Source organism: Homo sapiens, chromosome 10, assembly GCF_000001405.40.
Source record: "Homo sapiens chromosome 10, GRCh38.p14 Primary Assembly".
NCBI lineage: Eukaryota > Metazoa > Chordata > Mammalia > Primates > Hominidae > Homo > Homo sapiens.
Genome location: NC_000010.11, coordinates 73,010,715 through 73,034,001, shown reverse-complemented (window position 1 = coordinate 73,034,001; position 23,287 = coordinate 73,010,715). Strand labels below are relative to the sequence as shown.

Sequence of the window (23,287 nt, the reverse complement as noted above, 5' to 3'; positions counted from 1 at the left end):
AAGTGATTTTCCTGCCTTGGCTTCCCAAAGTGCTGGGATTACAGATTTGAGACACTGTGCCCATCCTGTTTAACTTTCCTGATGTTATTCTTTGAAGCATAAAAGGTTTTTATTTGGATAATGTCCCATTTATTTATTCCTTTTGTTGCCTGTACTTTTGATGTCATAGCTAAACCATTGCTTCGTCCAACGTCACAAAGATTTGCTCCTGTGTTTTCTTCCCACAGTTTTTATAATTTTAGCTTTTACATTTAGGTCTTTGATCCATCTTGAGTAATTCGTTTTAATATAATGTGAAGCAGAGGTCCAGCTTCTTTCTTTGCATGTAGATAACCAGTGTCCCATGACCATTTGTGGAATGTAACAAGCATTTCTTACTTTTGCAGTTTTAAAGGAGTAAAGTGAAAGACTGGAGTGGTAATTTGCTAGAATGGCTAAAGTGAAGGTATTTTTCTTGGTAGCAGGAGACTTCAATAAGCAAGCATTGACAAGGAGGAGATTAAAGATAAAAGGGAGGCAATAACTGCTGGAGTAAGGCATCTAGAGTTAGAAAGCATAGAATCAAAAGCATAGATAGAAAGTCTGCCTCTATAAGGCTGAAGGACGATGATTCTACCAAAGTACAAGAGGAAAAGATAAGACTAGATATTTAAAAGTTGTTGGTAGCAGGGAGGGAAGTTGAAGATATCAGAAGACACGTTCTCTGTGGGTGATAGGTTCCAGGATGGAATAGGAACAGTTTGTTCATGAGGCATTTAGTTCGAAGCTTTATTAGAATGCTTTCCAATTTAGCATTGCAATTACCTGTAAAAATCAAGTCAGTAGTTGGTTGGTTGCTTATAAAGTTCAGACATCCATCAAATTGTGCTAGGCAGGAAAGACAGGTACATTGACATATACCAGATTAGTTCTACCAGGAACTTGGGCAGAATTAGAAGAAAAAAATTCTTAATATACTTAATCAGCTATATTCTTTACAACAATAACACTTTGATTCTTCCCATTTTTGCTACACTGAGGAATTCTGTAATACTCAGCCAGTCCCAAAAAATTTGCAAGATATCACCAAGCAAATAATTTTAGTAATATAGGATAAATCTAAGAATCCACCCTGTTTGTCATGTTAGTTTCATGTTGGTAATGATTAGTAAAAACTTCTTTCTTCTCCATGTCTTTCTCTTGTTAAAGAAAAACCCACACACTCTCTCTTGCTCTCTCTCTTACGCTTGCTCGCTTCCTTTGTCTGTCTGTGGAAGCTTTGGCTTCGTCTGGCAGCGGGAGAGGTAAAGGAAAGCTTCTCTAAAGAAGTGGTAACTAAGGTGATATCCAGAGTCTTAATTTTGCAAAGTGAAAAAGAATATTCTGGGCAGAGAGAAGAGCATACGCACTAGCCTTAGGCCTAGAGGAAATACGTTCTTGAGGAAATGTTGCTGCTGTCCTGAGAGGGAGGCAGAATATAGTGTTGGAGGCTGTAAATTAGGAGACCAAGAAAAAGCAGCCTGAGATACTAGAGGAATTCCTGGAGAATGAGTGTTTGAGAGAGTTTCCAAAAGGATGAGTATTGTCACAAATGTTACCAAAGGAACAAATACAATGAGAATTGAAAAATGTCATTAGATTTAGAAGCACAATAGGGCTGTGGGTAAGATTAGCAAGAGCAATTTTGAGGGAGTGATATAAGTGACTAAAGCTAGATTACAGTGGGTTCAGAGATTAGGAATCTGACAAAGTTAGCTTGAAGAGGGAAAAGAAAGATTGGTAACTGGAGGGATGTACAGATTTGGGGAAATCATTTTTAATTGTAAAGGCGTTTATTTGCTCTATGAAGTAGGAAATACATTATCTACTGAGTGAAGGGAGAGGCTGAAGTGAGTTAGGGTACAGAGTGGAAGAGGAAGTAAAGTGAAGAGCCCATTTGAAGTTGGTATTCATGAATTTTTAGTGGAACATATCTGCCCTATTTCATGACTTTCTCCAGTAGGGTTTGGTGACAGAGATATACGCTTAGATAAAAGAGATTGATCCAGGATTGTTTTTGCCAGACAGTTGAGTTTAGGCGTTTAGAAAGAATGTTAAAATGATGAACTATGGAATCAAAGCTCAGTGAGAGGAGAAGTGAAGAAAGCGAAGGACTGATTGACTGCTTAAAAGCATATGTGAAAAAGGGATATAGCTGAATTTGGGAGTACCATTTAAAATTGAGATATAGTTCCCGTATCATAAAATTCACGCTTTTAAAGTATGCATTTCAGTGGTTTTTAGCCTTGTGCAACTATAACCAATGTCTAGTTCCAGAACATTTTTGTCACTCAAAAAAAATCCTGTACCCATTAGGAGTCATTTCCCATTCCCCCCAGCCCCATCCCCATCCCCTGGCAACCACTAATCTATTTTCTATTATCTATTGATTTGTCTATTCTGTATATTTCATAGAAGTGGCATTATATAACATGTGGCCTTTGTATCTGGCTTCTTTGACTTAATATGATGTTCCATCCATGTTGTAGCATGTATGTAGAGACAGGGTCTCACTCTGTCACCCAGGTTGGAGTGCAGTGGTGTGATCATAATTCACTGCAGCCTCAAACTCCCATGCTCAAGCGGCTCTCTTGCTTCAGCTGCCAGAGTAGCTGGAATTACAGGTGCATGCCACCATGCCCAGCTAATTTTTTAAATGTTTTGTAGAGTTGGGGTCTCACTGTATTGCCCAGGCTGGTCTCAAACTCCTGGCCTCAAGAGACCTTTCCACCTCAGCCTCCCAAAGTGCTGGGATTACAGGCATGAGCCACTGTGCCTGGCCAGTACTTTATTCCTTTTTGTGACACAATAATATTCCAGTTTATAGATCTATCACGTTTTATGTATCCATTGATAAATTGATGGATATTTGGGTAGTTTCTACTTTTTGGCTATTATATGTAATGATGCCATAAAAAATTCTGTACAAGTTATTGTATGGACATAAGATTTAATTTCTCTTGGATATATACCTAGAAGTAAATTGCTGGGTCATTTGATAACTGTGTTTAGCATTTTGAGCAACTACCAAACTGTTTTCCAAAGTGGCTGCCCCTTTTACATTCCCATTAGCAATGTATGAGGGCTCCAGTTTCTTCACATCCTTACCAACACCTGTTATTGTCCATCCTTCAGTAGGTGTGTTTGGGTAACTTTTCAAAACTTAAGCAGTAAGCAGAATTTTTTTCTTATAAAATATTAGCATTATGTAGCTCAGACTAAAGACCCCATGACTTCCACCATAGTCAGTTCCTATACCTTACCTGGAAAGAACGTTGTTTTGTTTGGTATGGTTTTTTAAAGAATTTTTTGAAGTTCTCAATGTAGGTGGCTTTCAATATAGCCTCCTTACATTAATCCAACTGTTTTCATATAAGCATTATAATAAATTTGATTAGTTTTTTCCTTCCCAACCTCTAACAGTAGAATGTGACATTTAAAAAAAATTACAATATCCATTAATAAAGATGATACTAAGCAAGAAAATGAACTAAATGCCTTCAGTAAAGGTTTATTGTCCTATATATTAAATATTATGGCTTTAAAAATAACAGCTATTAGTCTCCATGTAATGAAACATTATCAATAAAACTAATATTCCTCTTATTCTTAGTGCCTGGCTCTCTGGCTATGAAAATCCTGTGGTGTCTCGAATTAATATGAGAATACAAGATCTAACAGGACTAGATGTTTCCACAGCAGAGGAATTACAGGTAGGTAATCACATTATCCTTAAGTCATTTTTACACTTCAGGAGATGCTTGAGAGGAGATTTCCTGACACTGAACAGGCAGTCCTCAATTTGCATGATAGTTTGGGACCTTAAAAAGTGACCCTGTAAGCTGCAACCATGCAAAGTGATTTTAATAATGGGAAAAATTGTGATTGTTCTGTGACTTTTAAATTTCTTGTCAAAACATGAAAACTCTTATCTAGGGAAATGAAAAATATAGATCACTAATACTTACTAAGTACACTGTAATTTTTTTTCTATCCCCCAGGCCTCACTTTGCCTGTCAAGTGGCCAGGGTGGGTTTTAAAAAATAGTGGGTTTTTTTCCTTTTTATTTATTTATTTTTAAGCAAACAGTTTTCCTTTATTTGTAATAGTGAAACATAGGACTTTTTTCATCACTTCTCTTTTTCTGTTACTTTTATGTCTATAAATCATTTGTCATCAAAAGTAGCTGTCCCAAAATAATTCTTCTTCACTCCGTCATAATCACAACTTGACTCAAAATATCTGTAGTAAACAGGTATATATAGGAATGTTAGTTATAGGGAATAAACATAAAATCCATGTATAATAATCTCACTTGGTTTCAATAGTAAAAAAAAAAAACTAAGCATAGGCCTATAAACCAGAGAAAAGAAACAGCTTAGTCTTCCCCTTTGTCAGCGTTATTTACTATTCCTTAGTCTTTTCCTGTAGAAAAATACTTTTTAAAATATTTGAGTTCCCTTTTCTGTATTAGATTTTTTTTTTGAAGTTATCAAAATGTGCACTAAAAAAACCAATGCCTTTATTTTAGCCTTTCTGGTTGCAATTTTTTTTTTTTTTTTTTTTTTGAGATGGAGTCTGAGTCTGGCTCTGTGGCCCAAGCTGGAGTGCAGTGACATGATCTCGACTCACTACAACCCCTGTCTCCTGGTTCAAGCGATTCTCCTGCCTCAGCCTCCCAAGTAGCTGGGATTACAGGCATGCGCCACCACACTGAGCTAATTTTGTATTTTTAGTAGAGACGGGGTTTCACCATGTTGGCCAGGCTGCTCTTGAACTCCTGACCTCAAGTGATCCACCTGCCTTGGCCTCCCAAAGTGCTGGGATTACACAGGCGTGAGGCACTGTGCCTGGCCTGGTTGCAAAATTCTAAGACAGATGCAGTCAATATGCAGCTCATAAATTCATTAGAAAGGTGATACTTTTGCTTCTTTTCAACCTTTCTTTTTCTTTTTGAGACAGTCTCACTGGAGTGCAGTGGTGCAATCTTGGATCAGTGCGACCTCTGCTTCCTGGGCTCAAGTGATTCTCCTGCCTCAGCCTCCCAGGTAGCTGGGACCACAGGCACATGCCGCCACGGCTAGCTAATTTTTGTATTTTTAGTAGAGATGGGGTTTCACCATGTTGGCCAGGCTGGTCTTGAACTCCTGGCCTCAAGTGATCTGCCTGCCTTGGCCTCCCAAAGTGTTGGGATTACAGGCATGAGCCACTGTGTCTGGCCTCTTTTCAACTTTAAATAATAAACTGTTGTCCGGGTCTGGTGGCTCATGCCTGTAATCCCAGCATTTTGGGAGGCCGAGCCAGGTGGATCACCTGAAGTCAGGAGTTCGAGACCAGCCTGACCAACATGGAGAAACCCCGTCTCTACTAAAAAATACAAAAAAATTAGCTGGGCGTGGTGGCACATGACTGTAATTCCAGCTACTCGGCAGGCTGAGGTAGGAGAATTGCTTGAACCCAGGAGGTGGAGGTTGCGGTGAGCTGAGATTGCGCCATTGCACTCCAGCCTGGGCAACGAGAGCAAAACTCTGTTTCAGAAATAAATAAATAAATAAACTGTTAATTTATCAGAAGACCAAAATGTATTCTTAAAGACAGTTAATTCCCTTTTTCTAATTAAGTTTTAAAAATGTATTTTGTGTGTGTGTGTGTGTGTGTGTGTGTGTGTGTGTGTGTTTTACAGTGACACGGTTTGATGCCATCCTACTCCGTCTTTGTCAGAACACGTGGTCTTTTCTTCTGTTTTTTTTTCCTATCTCAAAATTATGAAAGCTTTTATTTATAACGCTTGCAGTTTTTTAAAAGTGAGATTCATAAAACTGTGTTCACCCAACACACTGAATCCTATCATGACTTGGCATGAAAAACAGCAACCCACTCAGAGTCCAGTAACACTGTGCCCTCCCCTGTGATGCACACCTGCCAGGTTTATTCAGTGTTTGACTGTTGTTCAGTATTCATCCAACAACATTTTTGATACATGTGGTGCTAAATGTTGGGAATGCAAACCTGAATAAGGTATCGTCCTGATTCCTGCCTAATGGTTTTCCTGGGTTTCACTGGCTATGATTTCTGATTCTTCCCTCCCTCCCTCTGTCCCTCCCTCCCTCCCTCTCTCCCTCCCTCCCCTCCTCTCTCCCTCCCTTCCTTCCTCTCTCTCTCCCTTCCTTCCTTCCATATTTCCTTCCTTCCATGTTTGCTTGCTTCCTTCCTTCCTTCCTTCCCTTCCCTCCCTCCCTGCATCCATCCTTCCCTCCTTTCCTTTCTTTCTTCTCTCTCTTCCTCCCTCCCACCCTCTTTATTTCTTTACTTCCTTCCTTCCTCTCTCCCTCCCCCCTCCCCCTCCCTGACTCCCTTCTTTCCTTCCTTCCTTCCCTTTTTTTTTTTTTATACTTTAAGTTCTAGGGTACATGTGCACAACGTGCAGGTTTGTTACATAGGTATACATGTGCCATGTTGGTTTGCTGCACCCATCAACTCATCATTTACATTAGGTATTTCTCCTAATGCTATTCCTCCCCCAGCCCCCCACCCTCCGACAGGCCCCGGTGTGTGATGTTCCCTGCCCTGTGTCCAAGTGTTCTCATTGTTCAATTTCCACCTATGAGTGAGAACATGTGGTGTTTGGTTTTCTGTCCTTGTGAGAGTTTGCTGAGAATGATGGTTTCCAGCTTCATCCATGTCCCTGCAAAGGACATGAACTCATCCTTTTTTATGGCTGCATGGTATTCCATGGTGTACATGTGCCACATTTTCTTAATCCAGTCTATTATTGATGGACATTTGGGTTGGTTCCAAGTCTTTGCTATTGTGAATAGTGCCACAGTAAACATACGTGTATATGTGTCTTTATAGTAGCATGATTTATAATCCTTTGGGTATTTACCCAGTAATGGGATTGCTGGGTCAAATGGTATTTCTACTTCTGGATCCTTGAGAAATCACCACACTGTCTTCCACAATGGCTGAACTAATTTACACTCCCACCAACAGTGTAAAAGCATTCCTATTTCTCCACATCCTCTCCAGCATCTGTTGTTTCCTCACTTTTTAATGATTGCCATTCTAACTGGCATGAGATGGTATCTCATTGTGGTTTTGCTTCGCATTTCTCTTATGACCAGTGATGATGAGCATTTTTTCATGTGCCTGTTGGCTGCATAAATGTCTTCTTTTGAGAAGTGTCTGTTCATATCCTTTGCCCACTTTTTGATGGGGTTGTTTTTTTCTTGTAAATTTAAGTTCTTTGTAGATCTGGATATCAGCCATTTGTCAGATGGGTAGATTGCAAAAATTTTCTCCCATTCTGTAGGTTGCCTGTTCACTCTGATGGTAGTTTCTTTTGCCATGCAGAAGCTCTTTAGTTTAATTAGATCCCACTTGTATATTTTGGCTTTTGTAGCCATTGCTTTTGGTGTTTTAGTCATGAAGTCCTTGCCCATGCCTATGTCCTGAATGGTATTGCCTAGGTTTTCTTCTAGGGTTTTTATGGTTTTAGGTCTAACATTTAAGTCTTTAATCCATCTTGAATTAATTGTTATATAAAGTGTAAGGAAGGGATCCAGTTTCAGCTTTCTACATATGGCTAGCCAGTTTTCCCAGCACCGTTTATTAAATAGGGAATCCTTTCCCCATTTCTTGTTTTTGTCAGGTTCGTCAAAGATCAGATGGTTGTAGATGTGTGTTGTTATTTCTGAGGCCTCTGTTCTGTTCTATTGGTCTATGTCTCTGTTTTGGTACCAGTACTATGCTATTTTGGTTACTGTAGCCTTGTAGTATAGTTTGAAGTCAGGTAGCATGATGCCTCCAGCTTTGTTCTTTTGGCTTAGGATTGTCTTGGCTATGTGGGCTCTTTTTTGGTTCCATATGAACTTTAAAGTAGATTTTTCCAATTCTGTGAAGAAAGTCATTGGTAGCTTGATGGGGATGGCATTGAATCTGTAAATTACCTTGGGCAGTATGGCCATTTTCACGATATTGATTCTTCCTATCCATGAGCATGGAATGTTCTTCCATTTGTGTCCTCTTTTATTTCGTTGAGCAGTGGTTTGTAGTTCTCCTTGAAGAGGTTCTTCACATCCCTTGTAAGTTGGATTCCTAGGTATTTTATTCTCTTTGTAGCAATTGTGAATGGGAGTTCACTCATGATTTGGCTCTCTGTCTGTTATTGGTATATAGGAATGCTTGTGATTTTTGCACATTGATTTTGTATCCTGAGACTTTGCTGAAGTTGCTTATCAGCTTAAGGAGATTTTGGGCTGAGACAATGGGGTTTTCTAAATATACAATCATGTCATCTGCAAACAGGGACAATTTGACTTCCTGTTTTCCTAATTGAATACCCTTTATTTCTTTCTCTTGCCTTATTGCCCTGGCCAGAACTTCCAACACTATGTTGAATAGGAGTGGTGAGGGAGGGTATCCTTGTCTTGTGCCGGATTTCAAACAGTGCTTCCAGTTTTTGCCCATTCAGTATGATATTGGCTGTGGGTTTGTCATAAATAGCTCTTATTATTTTGAGATATGTTCCATCAATACCTAGTTTACCGCATTTTCAGCATGAAGGGCTGTTGAATTTTGTCAAAGGCCTTTTCTGCATCTATTGAGATAATCATGTGGTTTTTGTCATTGGTTCTGTTTATGTGATGGATTACGTTTATTGATTTGTGTATGTTGAACCAGCCTTGCATCCCAGGGATGAAGCTGACTTGATTGTGGTGGATAAGCTTTTTGATGTGCTGCTGGATTCGGTTGGATTTTTGCGTCGATGTTCATCAGCGATATTGGCCTAAAATTCTCTTTTTTTGTTGTGTCTCTGCCAGGCTTTGGTATCAGGATGATACTGGCCTCATAAAATGAGTTAGGGAGGATTCCCTCTTTTTCTGTTGATTGGAATAGTTTCAGAAGGAATGGTACCAGCTCCTCTTAGTACCTCTGATAGAATTCGGCTGTGAATCCATCTGGTCCTGAACTTTTTTTAGTTGGTAGGCTGTTATTGCCTCAATTTCAGAGTCTGTTATTTTTCTATTCAGAGATTCAACTTCTTCCTGGTTTGGTCTTGGGTGTATGTGTCCAGGAATTTATCCATTTCTTCTAGATTTTCTAGTTTATTTGCATAGAGGTGTTTATAGTATTCTCTGATGGTAGTTTGTATTTCTGTGGGATCTGTGGTGATATCCCCTTTATCATTTTTTACTGTGTCTATTTGATTATTCTCTCTTTTCTTCTTTATTAGTCTTGCTAGCTGTCTATCAATTTTGTTGATCTTTTCAAAAAACCAGCTCCTGGATTCATTGATTTTTTGAAGGGTTTTTTATGTCTGTATCTCTTTCAGTTCTGCTTTGATCTGAGTTATTTCTTGCCTTCTGCTAGCTTTTGAATTTGTTTGCTCTTGCTTCTCTTGTTCTTTTAATTGTGATGTTAGGGTGTCGATTTTAGGTCTTTCTTGCTTTCTCTTGTGGGCATTTAGTGCTATAAATTTTCCTCTACACTGCTTTAAATGTGTCCCAGAGATTCTGGTACGTTGTGTCTTTGTTCTCATTGGTTTCAAAGAACATGTTTATTTCTGCCTTCATTTCGTTATTTACCCAGTAGTCATTCAGGAGCAGGTTGTTCAGTTTCCATGTAGTTGTGTGGTTTTGAGTGAGTTTCTTAATCCTGAGTTCTAATTTGATTGCACTGTGGTCTGAGAGACAGTTTGTTGTGATTTCTGTTCTTTTACATTTGCTGAGGAGTGCTTTACTTCCAATTATGTGGTCAGTTTTAGAATAAGTGTGATGTGGTGCTGAGAAGAATGTATATTCTGTTGATTTGGGGTGGACAGAGTTCTGTAGATGTCTATTATAATGGTCTGCTTAGTGCAGAGCTGAGTTCCAGTCCTGGATATTCTTGTTAACCTTCTGTCTTGTTGATCTCATATTGACAGTGGAGTGTTAAAGTCTCTCATTATTATTGTGTGAGAGTCTAAGTCTCTTTTTAGGACTCTAAGGACTTGCCTTATGAATCTGGGTGCCCCTGTATTGGGTGCATATATATTTAGAATAGTTAGCACTTCTTGTTGAATTGATCCCTATACCATTACGTAATGGCCTTCTTTGTCTCTTTTGATCTGTGTTGGTTTAAAGTCTGTTTGATCAGAGACTAGGATTGCAGCCGCTGCTTTTTTTTTTTTTTTTCTTTCCATTTGCTTCGTAGATCTTCCTCCATCCCTTTATTTTGAGCCTATGTGTGTCTCTGCACATGAGATGTGTCTCCTGATGGGTCTTGACTCTTTATCCAATTTGCCAGTCTGTGCCTTTTCATTGGGACATTTAGCCCATTTACATTTAAGGCTAATATTGTTATATGTGAATTTGATCCTGTCATTATGATGTTCGCTGGTTATTTTGCTCGTTAATTGATGCGGTTTCTTCATAGCATCGATGGTCTTTATAATTTGGCATGTTTTTGCAGTGGCTGGTACCAGTTGTTCCTTTCCATGTTTAGTGCTTCCTTCAGGAGCTCTTGTAAGACAGGCCTGGTGGTGACAAAATCTCTCAGCATTTGCTTGTCTGCAAAGGATTTTATTTCTCCTTTATTTAGAAAGCTTAGTTTGGCTGGATATGAAATTCTGGGTTGAAAATTCTTTTTTTTAAGAATGTTGAATATTGGCCCCCACTCTCTTCTTGCTTGTAGGGTTTCTGCAGAGAGATCCACTGTTAGTCTGATGGGCCTCCCTTTGTGGGTAACCCGACCTTTCTCTCTGGCTGCCCTTAAGATTTTTTCCTTCATTTCAGCCTTGGTGAATCTGACAATTACGTGTCTTGTGGTTGCTCTTCTCGAGAAGTATCTTTGTGGTGTTCTCTGTATTTCTGAATTTGACTGTTGGCCTGCCTTGCTAGGTTGGGGAAATTCTCCTGGATAATTTCCTGAATAGTGTTTTTCAGCCTGTTTCCATTCTCCCCGTCACTTTCAGGTGTACACCAATCAAACATAGATTTGGTCTTTTTAGATAGTCCCATATTTCTTGGAGGCTTTATTTGTTTCTTTCTACTCATTTTTCTCTAAACTTGTCTTCTTGCTTTATTTCATTAATTCCATCTTCAATCACTGATACCCTTTGTTCCACTTGATCAAATCGGCTACCGAAGCTTGTGCATGCACCATGACGTTCTTATGCCATGGTTTTCAGCTCCATCAGGTCATTCAAGGTCTTCTCTACACTGTTTGTTCTAGTTAGCCATTCGTCTAACCTTTTTTCAAGGGTTTTAGCTTCCTTGCGATGGCTTAGAACATGCTTCTTTAGCTGGGAGGTTTGTTATTACCGACCTTCTGAAGCCTACTTCTGTCAGCTCATCAAAGTCATTCTCTGTCCAGCTTTGTTCTGTTGCTTGTGAGGAGCTGCAGTCCTTTGGAGGAGAGGAGGTGCTCTGATCTTTAGAAGTTTCAGCTTTTCTGCTCTGGTTTCTCCCCATCTTTGTGGTTTTGTCTACCTTTGGCCTTCGATGTTGGTGACCTACAGATGGGGTTTTGGTGTAGATGACCTTTTTGTTGATGTTGATGCTATTCCTTTCTGTTAGTTTTCCTTCTAACAGTCAGGTCCCTCAGCTGCAGGTCTGTTGGAGTTTGCTGGAGGTCCATTCCAGACGCTGTTTGCCTGGGTATCACCAGCAGAGGATGCAGAACAGCAAATATTGCTGCCTGATCCTTCCTCTGGAAGCTTCATCCCAGAGGGGCACCCGCCTGTATGAGGTGTCTGTCGGCCCCTACTGGGAGGTTTCCCCCAGTTAGGCTACACGGGGGTCAGGGACCCTCTTGAGGAGGCAGTCTTTGGTTCTCAGAGCTCAAATGCCATCCTGGGAGAACCACTGCTCTCTTCAGAGCTGTCAGACAGGGACGTTTAAGTCTGCAGAAGTTGTCTGCTGGCTTTTGTTCAGCTATGCCCTGCCCACAGAGGTGGAGTCTACAGAGGCAGTAGGCCTTGCTGAGCTGTGGTGGGCTCCGCCCAGTTTGAGCTTTCTGGCCATTTTGTTTACCTAATCAAGCCTCAGCAATGGTGGACACCCCTCCTCCAGCCAGGCTGCAACCTCTCAGGTCCATCTCAGACTGCTGCACTAGCAGTGAGCAAGGCTCCATGGGCATGGGACCCACTGAGCCAGGCACAGGAAAGAATCTCCTGGTCTGCCAGTTGCTAAGACTGTGGGAAAAGCGCAGTATGTGGGCAGGATTGTCCGGTTTTTCCAGGTACAGTCTGTCATGGCTTCCCTTTGCTAGGAAAGGGAAATTCCCTGACTCCTTGTGCTTCCTGGGTGAGGCGATGCCCCGCCCTGCTTTGGCTCATTCTCTATGGTCTGCACCCACTGTCCAACCAGTCCCAATGAGATGAACCAGGTACCTCAGTTGGAAATGCAGAAATCCCACATGTGAGTGAGAACATGTGATATTTGTCTATGCTGGGCTTATTTTACTAATATAATGAACTCCAGTTCCATCCATGTGATAAGATTACATTCTTCTTATGGCTGAATAGTGTTTCATTATATATAAGCACCACATTTTCTTTATCCATTCATCTGTTGATGGACACTTAGGTTGATTCCATATGTTAGCTGTTGTGAATAGTCCTGCAATAAACATGGGAATGCGGATATCTCTTCATCATGCTAATTTCCTTTCTTTTGGATATATACTTGGCACTGGGATTGCTGGATCATATGGTAGATCTATTTTTAGTTTTTAAGGGAACCTCTGTACTGTTCTCCATAGTGATTGTACTAATTTACATTCCCACCAGCAGTGTATGAGCATGCCCCTTTCTCTTCATCCTTGCCAGTGTCTGTTATTTTTGGGTTTTTTTGTTTGTTTTTTCTTGAGATGTAGTCTTACTCTCTTGCCCAGGCTGGAGTGCAGTGGTGTGATCTTGGCTCACTGCAACCTCCACCTCCTGGGTTAATGCAGTTCTCCTGCCTCAGCCTCCTGTGTAACTGGGATTACAGGCCCCTGCCACCATGCCCAGCTAATTTTTATATTTTTAGTAGAGACAGGGTTTTACCATGTTGGCCAGGCTGGTCTCGTACTCCTGACCTCAGGTGATCCATCCACTTTGGCCTCCCAAAGTGCTGGAATTACAGGTGTGAGCCACTGTGCCTGGCCAGGATGCTGAATTTTTTTGAAAGCTTTTTCTGCATTTGCAGAGATGATCATATGGTTTTTAATTCTGTTTATGTGGTGAATTACATTTATTGAACCAACCTTGCACCCCACAAATAAAGCCTAATTGATTATAGTAAATTAACTTTTTGATGTGCTGCTAGGTTTTGTTTTCTAGTATTTTTTTGAGTATTTTGTGTCTGTGTTCATCAGGAATATCAGCCTGAAGTTTTCTTTTTTCATTATGTCTGTGATGAGTTTTGGTATCAGAATGATGATGCTGGCTTCATAAAATGAGTTAAGGAAAGATTCGTTCTCAATCTTTTGGAATAATTTCAGTAGGATTGATACTAGCTCTTTGTATGTCTGGTAAAATTCAGCTGTGAATCCATCCAGTCCAGAGCTTTTTTTGGTTAGTAGGTTGTTTTTTTGTTTTTTTGTTTTTAATTAAAATTGAATTTCAATTTCAGAATTCCTTATTGGTCTGTTCAGGGTTTCAGTTTTTTTCTGTTTCAGTCTTGGGAGGTTGTGTGTTTCCAGGAATTTATCCATTTCTTCTAGGTTTTTTATAAAAGTTTGTGTGCATAGAGGTGTTCATAATAATCTCTGAGGACTTTTTATATTTCTTTGGGGTCAGTTGTAATGTCACCTTTGTTATTTCTGATTGTGCTTATTTGGATCTTTTTTCTTTGTTAATCTAGCTATCTTGCTGTTTCTAGAATTCTTTATTTGTCTTTGATGTTTGACAATCTGACTGAAATGTGCTTCAGAGGGGACTTTTTTTGGTTGAATCTATTTGGGGACTTTTGAACTTCCTGGAGTTGGATACCCTTATCTCTTCCCCAGACTTGGGTAGTTTTCAGCTATTATTAAATAGGTTTTCTGTGCCTTTTACCTTTCTTCTCCTTTTGGAACTCCTGTAATACAAATGTTTAATGGTGTCCCAGAAGTCTTGTAGGCTCTCTTTATCCTTTTTCATTATTGTTTCCTTTTTTTTTCCCCTCTGAGTAATATTAAATAATGTATCTTCAGGTTCAGAGATTGTTTTGCTTAATCAAGTGTGCTGGTGCAGCTTTGTATTGTATTTTTAATTTCATTCATTGAATTCTTTTTTTTTTTTTTTTTCTGAGACAGAGTCTCGCTCTGTCGCCACGCTGGAGTGCAGTGGCAAGATCTTGGCTCACTGCAACCTCCGCCTCCCAGGTTCAAGCGATTCTCCTGCCTCAGCCTCCTGCATTCATTGAATTCTTCAGCTGCAAGTGTTTTGTTTGGTTCTTTTTTATGATATCTTTCTTTGTTGAAATTCTGATTCATATCATGAATTGTTTTCCTGATTTCATTGAATTATCTATCTGTATTTTCTTTTATCTGTTTGAGTTTCCTTAAGATCATTATTTGAATTTTTTTCTAGCTAGGTGTTGATTTCCTTTACATTTGGGCCTGTAACTAGAGAGTTACATTCTCAGCAGTGTCATATTTCATTGCTTTTTAATGTTTCTTGTTTCCTGCATTGATGTCTGTGCATCTAGTGGAACAATTGGCTCTTTTAAACTTTCCGCTTCTGTTGGGCTGTTTGGGAAGGGTGTGGTGACTCTGTTTCCAGGTAGGTTCAGTACTGTAGTCTCTTATAGCCTATTCAGCTGCATTCATTGTCAGAATAACTGTGGGTGCCTCAACAGCCTAGGCTGGAGAAGTTTGCAGTGGTGGTAGCTGTGGAGTAGATTGTTAATATCTTCAGTGGCAAGAGCTTTTGGAATCCTTCCATTCTTGTTTTCCCCACAATAGGGAGTTTTAGCCAGTGGGAGTCTTCTTGGTGGCAGGTCTTACATATCCTACAAGCAGCTGCCATGGTGCTGCAATCCAGGTGCAAGCGTTTGGAGTGGCTATGGGGCTAGGATCCTGGGCTCAGGGTCTTGCATACTATTGTAACACCTGGGTGTTAGGGTACAGGGTCACTATTGGCAGGGTTGGATGTAGGTTGCCTATAGTGCCAGGATCTGTGACTCTGAGGCACCCTCTAGCTGCTTGGGAAAAGAGTGTCAGGTTGTAGCTGTGAGTCTACCCCTGGTGGACAGGGCACAGCCCTGGCCCAACTCCAGGGAAGAGAGGATGCTCTGGAGGTTTGAGTCTGGGATGCAGGGTTTGGCTCTATTAGGAGCCTGAGCCAATAGGGCTTAGTGGCAACTCCTATCCCTGGGGATGAGGCACCATGATGAGGTGCCCTGGATGAGGCACCAGGTTCTAGTAGTCACTCTAGAACCTGGATTGGTGGAGCTCAGATGGATCCCAGACTCTGAGGCCAGGTACAGCAGGAACAGGCACCCCTGAATGGCCAAGCATGCCTGTTGTTTGGGCCCTGTGGGGCAGAGAGCAGCACAGCAATGACTTCACTCCCTAGAAAGAGAAGTGTCTCAGCAGCGCAGACTCTCCAGGGAAGCAGGGTACTAGAGTTATTTGCCCTGCAGGGCACATTTCTCAGCTTAGCCACTGCTCTGTTTCCCTGGGTCTCTGGGTACTACTTCAGCCCTGGGATGTGCAGCTGCTCAGCTTGGCCAGTGCAACAATTCCCCAAGGGTGATGTGCTGTTTCAGCTCAGGCTCAGGGGACGTGACTGTTCTGGGTGGCCCAGACATCTCATGGGATGCAGGGTTCTGCCAAAGTACTATTTTCTTGGGAGGGAGTACATGGCTGCAGCTCCTGCCTCAGGGAGTTGGGGGAGGGGTGGGTAGAGCAGTTCCACCTCTCTTGACCCCACCAGGAAGGGTGTAACAGCTGCTGGCAGCTCTGCTTGGGAATGTCAGGCCTTCAAGTAGGCCTTCATTCCTGGCTTAGCTTCAGGGATGAAGGGGTGCTGTGGCTACTGGCCCCAGAGCAAGACACACTCCAGCAGTTCCAGTTCCACCAGTATTCTCCTTCTGGTTTCATCAGCAGCACTCTTAATTATGTTCTCCTTTGATTTTGTCAGCATTTTATTGTGTTGTGTGATTGAGGGAAAGAGTTAAGTATCATTCTCTTCACTTTAACAAATAAGAAAACTGAGATGATATCCAAAGTTACATTGTAATTAAGAGAGCTGGAACTTGAACTCAGACCAAATATTTTTCTTAAATTTTGGTGCGTCACACTGGGACATTGTCGTAAGCAACTGAAGTTGTTAGGGCCCTTCGACAGGAATAATTAAATTGGTGTTAATTTCTTTCCTTTTTTAGCAGGGAAAAAATATGTAAGAAAAGATATTTTATTAAAGTGGATTGCGAGTTCAGCATTTGGGGCTTTGGAAAACATTTTTTGATTTAAGTTCCAAAGGAAAGTGTTTAGTGAAACAAAATAATAGAAATCTCAAATTTTAGCTTATGTATTAAATTTTTAAAAATTAGCTGGGTGTGGTAGCATGCACCTGTAGTCCCAGCTACTCAGGAGGCTGAAGTGGGAGGATCACTTGTGCCCCAAAGGTTGAGGCTGCAGTGTGCTCTGATTGCATCACTGCACTCCAGCCTGTCTCTGGTGGGGGGTGGGGAGGGGTACATATGTAGATATAGATCTATATATATAGATATCTATATATGTAGATCTGTATAGAGATATAGATATCTATATATACATCTGTAGATATAGATATCTATATATACATCTGTAGATATAGATATCTATATATACATCTGTAGATATAGATATCTATATATACATCTGTAGATATAGATATCTATATATACATCTGTAGATATAGATATCTATATATACATCTGTAGATATAGATCTGTACATAGATATATAGTAGCTGTCCTTTGTTTTTCATCCCTGTTTTCATAGGAACTCTTGTTGATTTTAAATATTTTTCATTTCTCTGTAAATACCTGACCATGATCTATAAAAGTCCAAAAAATGAGGTTCATAGATTTTTTTTGAATAGTAATCTTTATAGTTCTTTTCTTTCATGCTTTGTGTCTTTCCTTCAGGTAGCAAATTATGGAGTTGGAGGACAGTATGAACCCCATTTTGACTTTGCACGGGTAAGTGAAAAAGAAATGGAGAAATTCACTGAGGCTTATGCATTACATTGTTTGTCTCAAAACAAAACAAAAAAACAGTCTCACTCTGTCACCCAGGCTGGAGTGCAGTAGCACGATCTTGGCTCACTGCAACCTCTGCCTCCTGGGTTGGAGCAATTCTCCTACCTCAGCCTCCCGAGTAGCTGGGATCACAGGCATGCGCCACCATGCCCAGCTAATTTTTGTATTTTTAGTAGCGACAGGGTTTCGCCATTTTGGCCAGGCTGGTCTTGAACTTCTGACCTCAGGTGATCCACCCACCTCAGCCTCCCAGAGTGCTGGGATTACAGGCGTGAGCCACTGTGCCCGGCCGCATTACATTGTTAAAGAAAAAGTTATTCTTGACACTTGTTAAAGATGGTAAGGCAGACTTCATTCAAGGGGGGACCATTGCGATAGGTATAGGGACCACTGCAAATGCAGTGGGATTTTGCAGTAAGGGAGAGAGGTTAAGCCCAATTCCAAATACAACAAGGAAAAGTGGGAATTTATAGCCAATGAGCAAGGGTGGGTGTTAGTAGATGGAAAATTACTAAGAGGTAAGGGAAGATTCTGGCTAAACTGACCTAACAGGATTCTTGCTGAAGTCAGGGAAGAGTGATCATCATCCAGGGGATAGTGGAAGATGAAGAACCCAGTTAGGTTTTGAGGGTGATCACATGGCAAGGACGGGGAATTCTGGCTAACCTGACTTAGCAGGGTTCTTGCTTAAATTGGACAATGCAGAGGTAAATACCAGAAGCCCAAAGTCAGGGCCTACTTGAGAAGAAAGTTCAGAGGAGCCTGAGTAGTTGGGTCAAGGAGAGATTCTTTGTCAACATGTTAATTCTGTTATTTTAACATTAAAAATTCATAGCCTATTTGGAATTTATGGAAATACGGTGTGGCAGATATTCTGTGAAACCTTTTTACCAGTTAAAAAAAAAAAACCAAACACCTAGATACCCAATAAAATCACTTAAGATACTTTAAATGCATTGGCAAGCCTGGAAGAAAGTAAAGGGTGTTCCAAAAGGCAAACTGAACAATGATCCCAAACTTAGAGAATTAAAGAGGGGACAAAACACAGAGGCTGGAGGTATGTGCCTCCAGGAACTAGAGCTTTGGGAATAACAGCTCTGTAAGAGGAGGATCTGCCACAGTGTAGGCTGCTGAATTTGAGACCCTGGCATAAACTCTAAATCTCCACAAGGATTACACCTTCAGTAAAGAAAGAATGGGTTTGAAAATAAATCTCTTGTGATACAGGAGCCTTATGGGGAACTGTCTGTTTCCATCCTGGCTGGGGCATAGTGTGTATGATAGGGGAGCTACTTCAGGGAGTACTATGTATGGAATTTTCCACTTGTGTCATGTTAGCACTAAAAGTTTTGAACTTCAGAGCATTTTGCATTTTGGACTTTTGGTATGCTCAACCTGTATTCCATGTTACGGATATACCACAGTTTAGCCATTCACCCATCGAAGGACATTTGGATAGTTTTTAGTTTTTGGCTATTACAAATAAAGATGTGTTTACATTTCTATGTGAAAAATGCATTTTCATTTTTCTGGGAGAAATGCCAAGAGGTTGTATTGTATTTTAATTTAGATATAAATATTTAGATATTAATTCTTTAGCTTGATTATAGTGCTGAAAGTCACTTTACTAGCATTATTAGAAAAATAATACTAGGGGCCAGGCGTGGTGGCTCATGCCTGTAATCCCAGCACTTTGGGAGGCCAAGGTGGGTGGATCACTTGAGGTCAGGAGTTCAAGACCAGTCTGGCCAACATGGTGAAACTCCATCTCTACTAAAAATACAAAAAAATTAGCCAGGCATGGTGGTACACGCCTGTAGCCCCAGCCACTTGGGAGGCTGAGGCAGAAGAATTGCTTAAACCCGGGAGGTGGAGGTTGCAATGAGCTGAGATCATGGCACTGCACTCCAGCCTGGGCGACAGGGCAAGACTCTGTCTCAAAAAAAAAAAAAAAGAAAAAAGAAAATAATACTAGGAAATATTTCAGTAGGTCGTGAGTTCAAAGTAAGTCTCAAGGTAAATTAAGCTTCAGGAGTATAGCTAAGAGATGGCTGTCAAGTCATATTTTTTAGAAGCTAAAATTGTGGGTATTTGTTTTTAAAATAATATGTAGCTTGCAGATAATGGCTGTCGTTTAGGCTAATAAGTCTGCTTTTTATCCAGTAATCTTGTCTAAAGTATCCAGTATACAAGTTCAGTCATCACGTATTTGAGGCCAGGTACAGTGGCTCACACCTGTGATCCTAGCATTTTGGGAGGCTAAGGCAGGAGGATCGCTTGAGGCCAGGAGTTCAAGATCACCCTGGTCCACATAGCAAGACTCCATCTTACAAAAAGATTGCCTGATGTTTATAGTGCACTGGACATTACAAGGGAAACTTTTGCGGTTGTTGTTGGCATATTCTTCAGGATATTACTACTGATGTTTAGTTGCCACTAGAGTATTTGTATTACTGAATTTTTACACCATTGAATTTACTGTGTTTTTATTCACAGAAAGATGAGCCAGATGCTTTCAAAGAGCTGGGGACAGGAAATAGAATTGCTACATGGCTGTTTTATGTAAGTCGTCACTAAAATTTTTAGATTAAGTTGGGATTTGATGACAAGATTCATTTTAATGTTTTAAGTTTGTTCTGTGTAGCTCTGATTCAGCATCCTAGTTTAACATTTTTACAACTGAATAAAGTGAGTTAAGAATTATTTTGCACTTGCAACTTTTTCAGGCTATAAGATAGATGTTCATTATAGAAACTTCTGGACAAACTTAGAATTTATAGTGCCACTACCTGCAGATAATCATTAATATTTTAACATATAGTCTCTCTGTTTAGTAATATATAATATGTGTATATAAAAATCTCTATATATTTGAATTTCTATACATACACATACACATTATTTCAGTAAACTTCTGAATTACATTTTTTTATTGAAGTATATCAGAAGAGTGCGCAAATTAAGTATTATAACTTAATTTTCACAAAGTGAACACTTCTGGTGTATTCAGTACTAAGATGAAGAAATAGCATATTACAACCCCCAGAAACCCTATCTCAGAGTTTTAAAACAGTATGATCATAATTCAATTTTTAAAATTGTTTATATATTTTTATATATGGAAAAAAGTTTTGATTGTAGTGTTTGTTCTAGTTACCCCAAATAAAGCACTCCAAAACTCTCCTTTCTGAGTGGTTTAAAATAACAACGATTTTCTTAATGTATCTCTAACAGTTATGAGGTTGACTGGGCTCAACTCATGGTTCCTGCTCCAAATCTGACATGTATTTGCCGTCAAATGCCTGGCACTGGGGTATCTTGAAGGCTAAGGTTGAGGCTGGCTGTCAGCCAGAATGCCTAAAGTCTGGCCAATACATGTGGCTGAGCTTCTTCACAGCATAGTGACTGGATTGCAAGAGGAAGCATCCCAAAAGAACAATGCAAAAGTACATGGTATTGTTATGACCTACCCTCAGAAGTCACAGATGTTAATTTTGCTGTATTCTGTTACAGCAATTACAAAGGTCTGCCCAGCTTCAAGGAGAGGGCACACAGACCCTACCACTGCAGACGAATGTCAGCGTCACATAAAAAGAGCATGTAGGATGGGACATATTGGGATGTATTATATTTGGAAAATGCAATCTGCCATAATGTCATAACCTTTGTTAACTTAAAAAAGATATTTTAGGCCAGGCACAGTGACACACGCCTGTAATCCCAACACTTTGAGAGGCCGAGGCGGGCAGATCACTTGAGGTCAGGAGTTCGAGACCAGCCTGGCCAACGTGGTGAAACCCCTTCTCCACTATAAATACAAAAATTAGCTGGGTGTGGTGGCACACACCTGTAGTACCAGCTACTCAGGAGGCTGAGGCACGAGAATCACTTGAACCTGGGAGGCAGAGGTTGCAGTGAGCCGAGATCGCGCCACTGCACTCTCCAGCCTGGATAACGGAGCGTGGCTCCATCTCAAAAAATAAAAATAAAAAAAATATATATATTTTATATGTAGACTTAATTTTGGTTATTTCATCACTTTTTCCATTCCTTAGCCCTATTTGAATTACATCTTTTTGTTGTCTGTAGTATCTCACTCCCTACCAAAATCTGTCTGTTCAGTCTATTTCCTTTTTCTCTTCCTGCTACCTTCCCTGTTTGTTTTCTTTCCCTTCTTCCCTATCTCCTTCCTCTCCGTATGCCTCCTTTTCTCCCCAATTCCCAATTTGTATTTCTCTCACAACTCCATCTTGTTTCCAAAAGGAGGTAAGGTACATTACAAAGATTCATATAAAAAAAGAGAAATACCACAAAGGGAAAACCAGGAGAGGGTTAGTACGGTATACAAATTCATGCTGCAAAGGCTTGCATATTTTCTAGAGGTGAGTCTTAGAGGTTGTACCAGTTTATATCCCAATTTTAAGTGGGATATGTTTGTGAAGTATGTTTGTCAGACTTTTTGATCTATGTATATTTCACTTATTAAATTAGCAGTTATTGTGGCTTTAATTTGCATTTCTCTTATTAGAGAGGTTGAGCATCTTTTCAGATGTTTAAAAGCCATTAGTGTTTATGTGTTCCTGGTTCTGCTTATATTTCTTTGTTTTATGAATATTGATGCTGTATTATTTGGCCCACTATCTGTTTCTCCCTCTTAATGTAAACACCCTTCCTGTTTTTCTAAAATAGTTGTATAGCATTTTAATTGATTATCATTTTTTCCGTTATTTAAATACCATTCCCAGAGGGGCACATAGAATATCTCAAATTACTTTTCCTCTCATGCACAACTTTTTAATTTCCTCAGAGTTTAATTTTTTCATTGGTTAAGTGTTCTTAGTTCTTTACTATTAGTTATGTATTTATCATTGTAAAATACCTTCTATCTCATTTAATGCTTTTTACCTTGATTTAAACTGTATCTCATACTAAGATCATATCCTGTTTTCCTTGGATAGCATTTGCCCAAAATCTTACATTTTTGTGTTCTGTGTTTGTAAGTCACTTGTTTTAGATGCAGCTCTGATATAATATGTAGCTGGGTTTTGCTCTGTGATCTAATCAGTCTATACATTCTACTTATGTTGCTTTAAAAAAATCTTTATGATCCATGTTTCCTTTGCCTTGTTTTTTGTGATTCTTTGGTTAATTTAAAAGGTTTCCATTTTTATTCTAGGTTATCTTTATGACTATAACTTTATATAATCCTTTAACTTTCTCACTTTTATTTAATATGTTTGATTCCCTTCCATGAGAAATGGCAAAACTGAGTATTTTTATTTTACATTTATTTAAATATTTCTTGAGCACCTACTGTTCTTGAGGTACTATTGTTCTAGACATTAATGATCAGCAATGAACAAAACAGATGAAAATTCCTGCCTCCATGGAGATTACATTCTAATACAATAAAATACATATTTATATCTGTGTATTGACTCATTAGTTTTAAGTCATTACTTTTTCCCTCTGGCTATAAATAAGTTCCTATCTCAAATTATATCCCCAGTCTTCCATCCTGATAGTTTTTTGTTATTCATTCCTTTGCTTTTTGTAGTTTTTTTACTTATGTATATAAACCTAAATGGCATTTTATTTTTGAAAAACTGAGTAGCATGTACCAACCATGCTATATAAGAACAAGTCCATATGTTCCCAATATTCTAGTATCCAATATCAAGTCTATATAATGGCATGTTTTACTTTATTCTACCAGCACTTTTGATAACACCCTCTTGTTTCTTATAGATGAGTGATGTGTCTGCAGGAGGAGCCACTGTTTTTCCTGAAGTTGGAGCTAGTGTTTGGCCCAAAAAAGTAAGCCTGTTTGTTTTGTTTTTGGTTTATTAATTTTTTCCCTAAGGAAGAGATGCACTTGTATTCATGGTCTAATTAATGAATTACATTTTTTTTTCTTTTTCATTTTTTGAGACCTGTTCTCGCTCTGTTGCCCAGGCTGGAGCCCAGCAGTATAAACATGGCTCACTGCAGCTTTGACCTCCTGGGTTCAAGCCTCAGCCTCCCAAATAGTGGGGACTACAGGTGCATGTCACCATGCCCAGCTAATGTTT

General features: G+C 39.8%; 1 protein-coding gene across 4 annotated transcripts in view, besides 1 other annotated feature; it reads left to right on the top strand.

The window, feature by feature from the left end:
* The window catches only part of P4HA1 (prolyl 4-hydroxylase subunit alpha 1), an 89,650-nt gene that overhangs the window by 62,865 nt on the left and 3,498 nt on the right, over positions 1-23,287 (top strand). For 3 of the 4 annotated variants that reach the window (NM_000917.4, NM_001017962.3, NM_001142595.2), the window contains 4 exons: positions 3,632-3,731; positions 17,103-17,156; positions 19,713-19,778; positions 22,965-23,033. In NM_000917.4, coding sequence (NP_000908.2) covers positions 3,632-3,731; positions 17,103-17,156; positions 19,713-19,778; positions 22,965-23,033 — 289 coding nt within the window. The remainder of the gene's footprint in view (positions 1-3,631; positions 3,732-17,102; positions 17,157-19,712; positions 19,779-22,964; positions 23,034-23,287) is intronic. The other variant, NM_001142596.2, reaches the window with a different exon arrangement.
* Positions 15,124-15,683: an enhancer, noted in NCBI's record as "H3K27ac-H3K4me1 hESC enhancer chr10:74778077-74778636 (GRCh37/hg19 assembly coordinates)". NCBI's record gives its function as "activates a minimal SCP1, AML or CMV promoter by ChIP-STARR-seq in naive H9 embryonic stem cells {active_cell/tissue: H9 hESC(naive)}" and the evidence as "EXISTENCE:reporter gene assay evidence [ECO:0000049][PMID:30033119]".